Below are 12,086 nucleotides of genomic sequence, written 5' to 3' on the forward strand. Positions count from 1 at the left end.
CATCCACGTGCCTTCCATCGAGATCCTCGTGGGCTGGGTTCTTGGGCCTTTTGTCTAATGAGGGTCAATGTCTGTGGGAACTTCACTCTAGCTCCTGCTTGTGGACAGGGTAGACTTGCAGGTTGAGGAGACTGCCTAGGGCTTCCTAGAGGGACTCTGCCCCACGTGGCTGCTGCAGGCTGGGCTGCCCAGAAGCCTCTGCCTCCACTCCCAGCCCATATAACCCGGTTTTTCTTGCCCCAGCCAGAAGCAAGCCAGGTTGTGCTTGCTGGGAGTACAGGCCTCCTGGAGCAGGACTCAGGGGCCTGGGCTGACACTGCCCACCGCAGCCCTCCCTGGAGCATCAGGGACTCCTCTAACATCCTGCAAACTTCCCACACCCTGCCCCAGGCTATGCAGCATGGCGAATTGAGGGGTCAGAACCAGCACATCTCTCAGGGTCCCCCTTCTAAGGAGACAACTAAGACGTGGAGGAAAGGCCCACCATGGAGCTCTTGGCCAAGGGCAGGGCACCCAAGGGGAGAGCCTGTGCATCTCCAAGGAGGAGCATGGAGACCATGTGTGCATGTTTGTGTGCATGTGTGAGTGTGTTCAGCTACCGGTGCACATGGGGAAGGGTGGGGTGGCGGGGGAGGGGTAGGTGCTCGGCAGAGGAGCCAATGCCCAACTGGAGTCTCGTGGGAAGCTGGTCAGATCTCAGGGCACAGGGACCACACTGGGTGACCGCCAAGGTGGCTCCTCTGGGGTAGGCCTCTGAGAAGGGTGGCTTCTCCAGCTGTGGCATGAGGCCTCTGCCCCACAGACGGCCCTGCCCTGGACTACCTCAGGGCCTTGGGCCCCTCCCCTGGCTCTGCCCTGTGGGCACTCACCAGCCTGTCTGCACTGCCATCTCCAGCCCCAGCCAAACCCTGACAGGGCTTACGGGACAGACAGAAGGACAGATGGAGGAGGAGGAGGAGTGGGCAACAGAAAGGCAAGGCCCCCTCACCCAAAGCCCAGGAAGGCAGTGGAGGTCTGGCAGGTGGTGAAGCCAGGCTGACTGCAGCCCCGTTCAGTGGAAGCTAGAGGGCAGCATCCCTCCCGCCCACCTCCCTGCAAGCTGTCTGACTCCCAGGCTGACAAGCAGGGCAGGGAGGGAGAGGGGATAGCATGATGCGGGCAGGACTGGCCCTCCCAGAGGGTAGATGCTCAGCTCACAAGAGGGAGCTGGCAGGCCCAGTGCCACTGCTGCTAAGAGACATCACCCTCCAGGGGGAGGGAAGGCACACTTGACAAGGGAACACTTTCTCTGTTCCAAGACTGTATCATGCCACCTTGAGGTGAAAAGGGAGGATTAGGGTTGTTGCCTAAGAACAGTCCCCGAGTCAGCCTGAACAGTGCTCTGCTGACAGGGCAGGGCAGGCCGGGCCATCTCCTCTTCATTCTGGACCACCAGGGTTTATGTACAAACCAGCTTCCCAGCTCAGCCCTGGGCTCCAGGACCTCGGCTGGGCGTGCCCTCGCCAGGACCCCAAGTGCTGGCTTTGCCCTTTAAAACTCCTCTTCCTCCTTGGAGGCCCTGCTCAGAACTCAGGGCCCTGCTCGGCCCTTGTGTGTTTCTGCTTCCCGTGTCCCTAGGATCATCTCCTCCTACCTGGGGCAGCAGCAGGGAAGTCACAGCAGGTTCCCCCAGGCCACCTGCTAGCTGGTGGTGTATGCAGAGCAGAAGGCAGAGAAGGCCCTAGAGGTGGGCCTGGGCCCCCCACTGCCCTGCCCCTCCTGCAGCCCTGTCCAGCTCTACCACTCTGTGGGGGCCTCCCTCCCACACCCGACATCTCCTGGAGCCCAGGTCACCCCATTAGTCTCACTCCACAAGGCCCCACGTACTCACATCGGGGTAATAGTCCACCGTGGGAACAAGGTGCTCCATCAGGGCCTCCAGGGACCCAGAGATGAGGTGTCCATCTTGGAAGATGAGGTCCCCGGAGCCGCCACCGGCCCCGCCTCCACGCTCCCCCATGCCAGGCTGCACCTGTCCGCTACAGCTGGGCCCAAGGATGCTGGAGAAGACAACGGACGTCTGGGGCATAGTTTCCTGGGAGAAAAGAGCAAGGACATGAGGCATCAAAGGCGCCTCCACAGCTCCACAGACCCTCCTCCCAGGCAGCCTGCAGCGTGCATGCATGTGTGCAGGGGTGCGTGGCAGGGGCGCAGCGGCACTGGCAGAGGGCACCCCCATTCCAGGGCAGGGCAGGCGGGCTCCTTGGTGGTCCCCCAGCCGCTGCACATCTGATCACTGTGTCTTCAGCTCCCTGTGGGCCAGACCTCATTCCAGGGCCCTGGACACTCAAAGCCGGCAGAGAAGAGAAACTCTGGGAAAAATGTCCAAGAAGGGACAGGGAGCCTGCGGTGGGCAGTCAGGGCTGCCTGGGGTGAGAGGGCTGTGAACAACTGATGGGGCTGGCCGCGCAGCTCCCAGGATAAGAAAGGAACACCCTAGGCATGAGGTACAGTGAGTGCCAAGGTCCTGACCCAGAGATGTGTGCAGCGGGGAGCTGGGAGGACAGTCTGAGGACTCAGGGCCGGACACACAGGCTGCATGTGCTGCTTCACTGAGGTGGGAGCCTGGGGCTCTGAGCACAGTGGTCTGACTTACGGTGGCTGCCACGTGGATGGTGGGTCTTGCCACAGCCCAAGGAGAGCTTGCTCAGGCAGGCGGTAGCAGGAGTGGCGAGCAGGGCCACTCCACATGGTGAAGGTCTTGGGCCAAGTGGCTGACCAGTATGAGGCAGGGCTGTGGGCAGGGCTAGAGAGAGATCTGGAACTGGCTTTGGGGCCTGTGAGTCTGAGTGCCCCTGAGCTGCAGATGTCTGAGCAGCTGGGCCTCCTGGAGGCCTCGGTGCCCACACTGGGACTGTCCTCCACAGCATGGCCCGCTGTGATGGGGCTCAGGGTCTCACCACACCCTGCAGCTGGGAGTTCTTGTGAAGCCTAGGGGAGTCTGAAGCCCTCTGGGCCTGTTTCCCCAGTGCCCCAGACAGCCAGCCATGCCTGGGAGGAGCCAAGTGGGGACTGGACGATGCAGCAACTGCCAGCCTGAGGGCCAGAGGTGGCCTGCCTGTGGCCTTGCCTGCACACAGAGCCAGCCTCAACCTCCTGGCCCTCAAGGGAAGGCAGCACAGGTGCCAGCGGCTGAGGTCAGGTGGAGAAGCGAGACCCTCCTGCCATTTTGGCCTTAGTTTCCCCACTGCACAGAGCAAATTGTTGCCATGATTACTTCAGTGCCATGACAGGACCGTGGGCCTCTGCCCTGTAGGGGCCTTACAAGGAGAGAGCGGACCACCTGCCCACACCCCCCACGTCAACACACACACACACACACACACACACACACACACACACACACACACACACACAGCACGTCCCTGTCCCTCCCACCAGGGAAAAAAGAGCATCTGGCCCAGACGTCACTGGTTTTCCCACCAAACACCTAAAGGTTTCCTTGGAATTCTTAGAAAGTCTTTGGCAAGGAGAGCAAGAACGCAACCAAAGGCCCCACGATGACGCTGGGTGGAATGTCCAGGCCCCCAGGCTCAGTGCTGCCCCCACTCCAGGACAGGGAGGTCATGGCTCAGACTCATACAATGCTCCCTTCAAACTCAGGCCAGCAGCGGTGCCTCACACAAGTTAGAATGCACATTCTCAGGCCTAGCCCCAGACCTGCTGGTCAGAAACTCTGGGGTGGACTGCTTCTGTACCCCAACGCGCTCTCCACTCCAGCCCAGGAACCACTGATGTGAGCCAATCCTTCATTTTTCAGATGGTGAAACTGAGGCCCAGTGGGAAGGAACTCAACTAAGGAAACCCCAGGAGTTCCAAGTCCAGCCTAGGTGTCACCACCTCCAGGAAGCCTCCCTGGGTTTAACCTAGACTGTTGACCCACAAAGCCAGAAGTGGCTGTATCATTCACCTGTGTATCCTATCGCTGGCCCAGGGTGGCACTCAGTGACCATTTGTGCAATGAAGTCACGAAGGCGGGCTCACAAACCCCTTGTTGCCCACAGCTGCTCAGCACTGTCTCAGGCATCTGAGGCCAATGCACTGTGGGACAACCTCCCCAAGATCACACAGTTCTGGGTTCAAAAGGCGACCAGCAGGTGGTAACCTTGGTCAGTTGGGCCTCCTCACCCCAAGCTCTTGGGGTCATCAGAGAGGGCATTTGCCGAGCCACTGGCCTCTCCCACTGCAGGCTGCTCTGGTCAGGAGGTAGTATGTGGGGGATGCACTCTGACACCCCACAAACTCAGCCCCAGCCGATCCCCCACAGGGCAAGGCCACTCCATGTCCAGCCTGCAGAGAGACCTGCCTCAGTGCTAGGAGGCCTGCCTAGGAGTTGAGGAGCCATCCTGGGGACCCAGCCCACTGGTCAGCAGCCAGAGAGGGGCTGGGAAGGCCACGCCTTCGAGGGTGGGGGCCTGGAGGAGGAGCATGCAGGGGTGTCCCAGGCAAGCAGAGGTTCTGCACATGCTCAGAATCCCTTTGGGGAGTCAGCAGAGCCTGAGGGGGACCGTGTGGAGCCGCACTGACCTGAGAGGTGGGGTGCTCTGGGTTCCTTCTGTCCTGCCTACCTGGAGACCCACCTGGGGACACGGCCCAGGGCTAGGTCTCCTGCATCCAACAAACCAAGACCCTGCAGGTCTGGGGGATGCCCCATGAGCCCCTACCCCCGAAAGCTCAAACCTAGCAGGGCCCACCCTGCCCAGCCACGGAGCACTTCGAGGAGGGTCTCCAGGGCTCAGTGCCAAGTGGAGAGGCAGGTTCCCTACATGGCTTTTCCCGGGCAGGAATGCCGGCCCTGCAGCAGGCCCACTCCTTGTTCCTGGGTGCATCTGGCCAGCCCTCCACCTTCCCAGCTGTGAAATGGTGATGATGACAGCACTTCCACTGCGGGGTCCCCTGCCGGCCACCCCCACCCAGCCCTGAGGTCGCTTGTTCTTGCACCTGCTTCCTCCTTGCCCCAACAGCAGGGGCAGGCACTTCGACAGGCAGCTGCAAACCTGTGTATCTGAACAGCTGTGTCCACCACCAGGCAGCCCCTTCCCAAGGAAGAATTGCACACTGGGCTCTTGGCTCCAGTCACAGCAATAGCCATCATGATACACCGATGGCCAGGGTGCTGAACACTGAAAACCGCAAGGCTACAGTTGAAGAATCCCAGTTACTCTTCCCAGTCACCCCCTATGCTCCCAGAGAACCCGTTATTCCCTTACGCAGACGAGGGGTGAGTACCTGCCCCAGGTCACAGCCAGAGGGCAACAGTGCCAGGATTCATGCCGAGCAAGCAGCAGGGGTAGGCAGGGAGCCCAAGTCCGAGCCTGGCTCCACCACCTGTCTTGGCTATGTCAAGATCCTCAAACCCTTGGAGCCTTAACTTCTTTGTCTGTAAAATGGGCACAGGGAGCACTACTTCAGAGGTTTGCAGGGAAGATCAGAGGAGCCCCTGTGTAAGGTGCTGGGCACCAGGTGCCTCCTCACCCCCAGGAGCTGATTCCCACCAGCATGATTGCTCAGCACCCCTACAGACCACACAGGAGGCACTGCTTATTCTAGACACACTGGCCCTTTGTGTTTGGGCACTGTGGAGAGCTCAGGAAGCCCCCCCACCAGGGCTAGGCAGAGATAGGGCTGTGGCGGGCCAGCTTGCTCAACCAGCATTTGTGGGAACCATCACCTCCACCCCAAGTCCAGCTGGGGCTGGCCTGGACAGAGCAGGCCACCCTGACCCCAGAGAGCCAGACCCTGCATGGATGCTCTAAGGCCAGGTGTGGTCCCCAGAGCAGGAGCAGTACCTTCTCCTGAGCCAGAAACTGGTGGGAGTGGGCCCAGTGCTCCCCTTTCAGGTAGCTCAGCTGCACACTGGCGTTCTAGACCCTTCCCCTACAGCCTCTCAGTTCCAAGTGTGGCCGCTGGACCTGCAGCTAAAGCATGACCTGTCGATTGTCAAAGAGCAGATCTCAAGTTCCAGGCCAGGCCTGCTGGGTCACATCTGCTGCTGAGCAAGACACCAGGTGAATCATGTGCAGGTGAATGGAAGGCCCGGGAAGCCCACCTGTGTGAGAACCTCAGCCTCCAGGTAAGCTGCACCGGCTAACTCAGAGCAGGGGCCTGGTACGGAGGCTCATGCCTGTAATCCCAGCACTTTGAGAGGCCGAGGTGGATGGATCGCTTGAACTCAGGAGTTGGAGACAAGCCTGGGTAACATAGAGACCCCTGTCTCTACTAACATTCAAAAAAAAATTAGCCAGGTGTGGTGGCACAGGCCTGTGGTTCCAGCTACTTGGGGAGCTGAGGCAGGAGGATCACTTGAGCCCAGGAGGTTGAGGCTGCAGTGAGCCCTGATCACACCACTGCACTCCAGCCTGGGCAATGGAGCCAGACCCTGCCTCAATCAATCAATAAACAAACCAGGGCAGGCCCTCAGCTGTAGTATGTGCACACCAGCACCATGTGGGGATTTTTCAAAGACACCGTGCCTGACCCCTGCCTGGACAACTGATTTAACTGGTCTCAGGGGCAGGAGAGGCACTGGCATCTTCCACAGACTTCCAGGAAGCACGGGGAGCCTCTCTCCTGCCTCAGCTGCTCCTGGCTGCACCAGACCCATCTCGAGGCAGCAGACCCTGTGAAGGGCTCAGGAAGCACCCTCCTCCCACCCAGGATGTAGGCACAGACGGGGCCGGGGCCAGCCAGTGTGCCAGACCAGTCTCTGTGGGAACCCTCACCTCCACCCCAGGTCCAGCTGGGGCTGGCCTGGAAGAGCAGCAGCCCCTTGCAGGGAGTGGGGGACAGGCTTGCACCCAGTAGCCCCTCTGACTCCTTGGAGCAGCAGCCCCTTGCAGGGAGTTGGGGACAGGCTTGCACGCAGTAGCCCCTCTGACTCCTTGGAGCAGCAGCTCCTTGCAGGGAGTGGGGGACAGGCTTGCACGCAGCAGCCCCTCTGGTTCCTTGCAGCCCCTCCTCTGTTCAGGCAGGAAGGAAAGCACCTCCTAATTATAGAGCTAATCAATGCAGAAGAAACGTGCTTATAGCAAAGCAGAGAAGAGTGACTCACTGTCTCCTGGAGGACGCGCCTCACTCCCTTCTCACCTCCCACGCAGGGCCGGTGGACACAAGGGCAGTCCCAGGGGCCCAGCCTGCTGGTGAGAGGGGTGCCCTCTTCCATCTTGGAAGAGAGCAGATTTCCATACCTGGCTTTACTTGGCTCTCTGGGGGCACCATTCGAGAAGGGGGTCCTCCCTGTATCTGAGCCTAAGTCTTCCTGGCTGGGCCTCCAGGGTCACACCCCTGACCTGCACAGCCTCAGCAGCACTGTAGGAGGCCTGGAGTGGAGGCTGCCTGGGAGAGGCTGAACCTAGAGGCCCCTTGCCACCTGCCTGCCAGGATGCGCTGCAGCAGGACAGAGGGCAGGCGGCAGACAACCAGGCACAGGGCTCTCCCCAGGCCTCCACTACTCTGCCTCATTGTGGCTATCCCAGCCTTTTCAGGCTTGGCCCAAGGTGCCCCACCTGGCACATATGCTGCTGTCCCCCAGAGGATGAAGTGACTCGTGGGGTCCTGCTGCTGTCCCTCCTTGGTCTGCCACAGGTGATACCATCCTGAGAGGCCCCCCACAGCTGCACCCCCAGTCTCTCATGCCCTTGTCCACACCCCCGCACACCTGAGTCCTTTCCTGCAGTTGCAGATCCTGGGCCTGGGACTGCATGCCAGAGAACAGGCTCTGTCCCCACACCCACGGGAAGCCTCTGGGTGGCCCTAAGCCTGCTTCCTCGGCTGGACACTGGGTGTGGAATGTCTTGTCCCACCTCCCTGCAGGGTTGCAGTGAGGTTGAAGGGAGAGACGGAAGCTAGTGCGGTTGTGTGCCTGGAGCAGAACCAGGTATGTGGTTCTGTGCCACCCACATCTAGGCCTTGCCTCAATGGTGCCCAGTGGCCCAGTGCTGGGTGCCACTGCTTCTGACCTGTGGCCTCTGACCTAGGCCCTTAGGGCCATGGGCACACACCACACCGCCAGCCCTGGGAGAGGTTGGGGCTGGGGCAGGTTAACACCCTGTAGGAATCCTCACCCCAGAGGCACTGTTTTGAGACACAGAAGTTTCACAGAGCCTCCCCAGAGATGCCTGGGATGCCAGCTGTTGTTGGAACACATCCCGGCATCTCTCCACTCGCTCCCAGCCTCCTGCTGCCCGGGACTGTGCTTCCCAATAAAGCGAGCACAGCCAACATTTCCGTGAGCTCTGATCTCAGGTTTAAGATGGGCTCTGAGACCTTGCACCCCGCCCCATGGAGTGAGTAGGGTAGAGGAGGGGCTGTCATCTGGTTTCTCAACCCCCTCTGACTCTAGAACAGCCACGTGCTGATGGCGCCAAAGTGCCAGGAGGGGAGAGGCCAGGAGCCTGCATCCACATGTGGGCCAGGCCTCCCATTGGTGGTCGGCCTGGGGCAGTTCCTCTGTCTGTGTGAGCCTTAGTGGCACTGGCACCTGAACCTCATGGTGGCTGTGGGGAGTGCGGGGTGGCAGGGAGACACATGGAGTGTGGCTTCCAGCCCAGCACAAGTGCTCACACGCAGGGCGTGCTTCAGTGCAAGTGAACACTGCTCCTGGGGCTCTGCTCAGCCTGGGTGAGGGACTGTGGGAACACAGCCCTGGATCTCCAGGACCTTTTCCAGTGGGTACGTTCTGGAGCTCAGCCTCAATACACCTCAGGGGAGAGGCACTTTTAGGGGACACAGCCTAAAACTTTAGCTTCTGAATATTCACAGCTCCCCCCACAACACTCACACACACAGGTTCACACAGGTGCACACATGCACACACAGGTGCACAGACCCCTTCGCACCAAGGAATACACTGTGCCAATCACACAGCACTGAGAGTGGAGGTCACTATGTTAAGTGGAGCAAGCCAGGCACAGCAAGACCAACGCTGCATGTTCCCACTCAGGTGGGAGCTGAAAACCTTGCTCTCATGGAGGTAGACAGTAGAATAATGGCTACCAGAGGGCAGGAGCGGGAAACAAAGATAGCTTGGGCAACCGGTACAGACTCACATTTAGATAGAAGAAATAACTTCTAATGTTCCATAACAGACTCAGGTGGCTATAGTTTGCAGCAATGTATTGTATACTTCAAAAGAGATAGAAGAAATGTTTCCGACACATAGAAATTACAAATGCTCAAGATGATGGATACCCCAAATACCCTGCCTTGATCAGCACATAACCCATGCATGTAAAAAATACATGTACCCCATAAATATGTAAAATACTACATATGAATAAAAGAAAAGAATAGCTTGAGGAGAGGAAAAAAGCATAGAGAGCAAGAATGGAAGTGGCTAGACTGAGGGTCCAGGGTGAGAAGAGGGGAGGGGGCAGCCAGGATCTGAGAAACTTTCCAGCCTTTTAAGAAAGTAAGAGGAGGGACCCTATGTAGCCCCAGTGCTATGAGAGATCCTGGGAGAGAGAGGAAAAGGGAAGTTTTTGTGAAAGAGTACGAATGACATTCCTTTTTGCAGCCTCTTCAAGGACGTTGGAGAGTTTTTTATTGTTTTTTGTTTTGAGACAGAGTCTTGCTCTGTGGCCCAGGCTGGAGTGCAGTGGCACGATCTTGGCTCACTGCAACCTCTGCCTCACAGGTTCAAGCGATTCTCCTGCCTCAGGCTCCCGAGTAGCTGGGATTGCAGGTGTACACCACCATGCCCAGCTAATGTTTGTATTTTTTAGTAGAGACGGAGTTTCATGATGTTGGCCAGGCTGGTCTCGAACTCCTGGCCAGCCTCAAGTGATCTGCCCGCCTCAACCTCCCAAAGTGCTGGGATTACAGGGTTTAGCCACTGCACCCACCTGCTACCCAGCTATCTAATGTGACCCATGCCCGTCCCCCAGGCAGCACACAGAGAGAGGCCATCTGCCTCTGGCCTCATGTGTGCAAAAGCTGGATGCGCTCCTCGGGAGGGGCAGCCACACAGTGTGTACACCTTTCCTGAGCTGGTGCACAGTCCTTCCCTCCATTCAAACTGCAGCCATGGACTCTGAGACCTTGCACCCTGCCCTATCACCCATGAGCTCCTGAGAGCTGCAGCTACGATGGAGGCCCAGCAGCTCTGAGCCCAAGCCTGTGGCCTCACTGCAGCCAGAGCCTGCTGTGCGTGTCGTCTTCCCGTGCACCCACTCATGTGTCCAGGCCTGGGCAGCAGCTGGGTCACTTTCCACTCCCGAATGTTCTTTCTGTGTCCTGCACTGAGGATGCCCAGTGATGAGGAGACCCAACAGAGCCACAGGAGGCTTGACACCACCGTGGCCTCATAAAAGATCCCCAGGGAAGGGGGACGCAGGGGTCAGTGAGCATTCACCCACCCCGCCCCCCTTCGTAGGTGTGTGCACAGAGCACAACTGTCCAGCTCCCCAAAAGGGGCTATGGGAGGAGCATCAGAAGGTGGCCCTATGGGGTAACTGGCCATCCTCCAACACCACCAGCCCCACCACAGCAGAGAGTAGGAACAACAGGCCAGGAGGGGACAGAGTCTCCTGCACAGCTGGTCAGGAACAGGGTCAGGCCTCCGTTCAACTCCAAAGGGAAGAGCAGTATAAGGCAGGCTCCTAGCACACTGTCGGAATTCTAGGACCCCTTCTGGATCCTGGAGTCTGCAGTTCTGGAAACTTCCAAAGCAGGGATTAACCTTCACTTGACTAACCTTGCTTTGCTTTAAGTGTGCATCGTTAGGAGTTAGAGTGAGCTGTGTGCTGGCCATTCCATGACTCATCTCAATGCAATTCTCCCTCACCCAGGGAGACAGCCCGGAGAGGCCCGTTTCTCAGATGGGGACACTGAGGCTCAGCTCACAGGACCCAAGAGGCCGTAATGTGCAGGACTGCCCAGGTCTGCCCTGCTGTTCCTCGGACCTCAGCATTGCCCCTGAGAGCACCTGGCAGGGGCATGGCCCCCTGAGCATCAAGTGCAGGCTGAAGCCCTGGCCTGGACATGTGGACAAGCACACATTCCCACGACCTGCAGATGATTCGGGGGACCGATGAGCTCCCAGAAGCTCATCTGTGGACTTCAAATTAAGAAACCCAGCTTCCTGGAAAACTGGGACAAAAACAGCCCTCAGGGCCCATCATGCATGAGTCCCAGGGATCTGCCAGGAGGTGGAGGAGGGGTTCGAGCCAGCCCCCTGCCTCTGCCAGCCTTGGCAGGGGGCTTCTTTCTGAGGCAGCACGTGGGCTTCTATTTTTTAACCTACTCAACAAAAACGGAGACTATTTTTAGCTCAGCAAGCTGCAGGGCATCACAATTAGCAACTGAAAATTACACATCTCGCCTGTCTCCCCTCTCTTGGCTGGCAGGGAGAGCGTGCTCCTGGAGGGAGCTGGGGGCAGCCCTGTGCCATGATCCTGGTGGGCCTCAGGAGGGGAGAGACCTGCGCACCTACCTGTGCTGGGCTGGATGCATGCCACGGACCCGACAGAATGGGCTCTTCGCCCTTCAAGGGATAACCGGCCAGTTCTCTGAAATTACCGGCACTGGGGTGGGGAAGGAGGTGGGTGTTCCCGGAGCCCTATTCTTTGCCCATTCATTCATTCACAAGTGGTAATGATCCCTGCCTAGATACTGGAGATACACCAGGGGAAAAAAACAGGGTTCTCTGGCCCCAGAGAGCACCCCACAGAGCCTGTGTGGTGCCACGCACAACGGCCACAGATGGCGACATGATATTCTGGGTTAGGAGAGAATCAGTGCTCCGACAGAGGAGATGGAAGGTCAGGAATGTGAGTGGGAAAGCGGTAACCTCTGCCTGGGCGGTGAGGTTGGCCTCCCTGTGGAGGTGAGGCCTCAGCCGACTGGAAGGAGCTTCTGGGAAAGGACGAGCAGAGTGAGTGGACAGAAGCGCTGGCGCCAAAGCCTGGGAGCTTTTGGCCCATTAGATCTCTGGCAAACCCTCCCTGGGGCACCTCCTGGCTGCCTCACTTACTCCAAAACATGCACTGACTGATGATGTGTGTGTCGGCCTTGCTAAACCTGGACCTGTGATGTGCCAGGATCAGGGT

General features: G+C 58.7%; 1 protein-coding gene across 2 annotated transcripts in view, besides 2 other annotated features; it reads right to left on the reverse strand.

The window, feature by feature from the left end:
* The window catches only part of RASGEF1A (RasGEF domain family member 1A), a 72,531-nt gene that overhangs the window by 9,514 nt on the left and 50,931 nt on the right, over window positions 1-12,086 (reverse strand). For both annotated transcript variants that reach the window (NM_145313.4, NM_001282862.2), the window contains exon 2: window positions 1,871-2,074. In NM_145313.4, coding sequence (NP_660356.2) covers window positions 1,871-2,068 — 198 coding nt within the window. In that variant the 5' untranslated portion in view covers window positions 2,069-2,074. The remainder of the gene's footprint in view (window positions 1-1,870; window positions 2,075-12,086) is intronic.
* Window positions 555-1,388: an enhancer, noted in NCBI's record as "H3K4me1 hESC enhancer chr10:43700051-43700884 (GRCh37/hg19 assembly coordinates)". NCBI's record gives its function as "activates a minimal SCP1, AML or CMV promoter by ChIP-STARR-seq in naive H9 embryonic stem cells {active_cell/tissue: H9 hESC(naive)}" and the evidence as "EXISTENCE:reporter gene assay evidence [ECO:0000049][PMID:30033119]".
* Window positions 7,517-8,119: an enhancer, noted in NCBI's record as "H3K4me1 hESC enhancer chr10:43707013-43707615 (GRCh37/hg19 assembly coordinates)". NCBI's record gives its function as "activates a minimal SCP1, AML or CMV promoter by ChIP-STARR-seq in primed H9 embryonic stem cells {active_cell/tissue: H9 hESC(primed)}" and the evidence as "EXISTENCE:reporter gene assay evidence [ECO:0000049][PMID:30033119]".

Source organism: Homo sapiens, chromosome 10, assembly GCF_000001405.40.
Source record: "Homo sapiens chromosome 10, GRCh38.p14 Primary Assembly".
Lineage (NCBI taxonomy): Eukaryota > Metazoa > Chordata > Mammalia > Primates > Hominidae > Homo > Homo sapiens.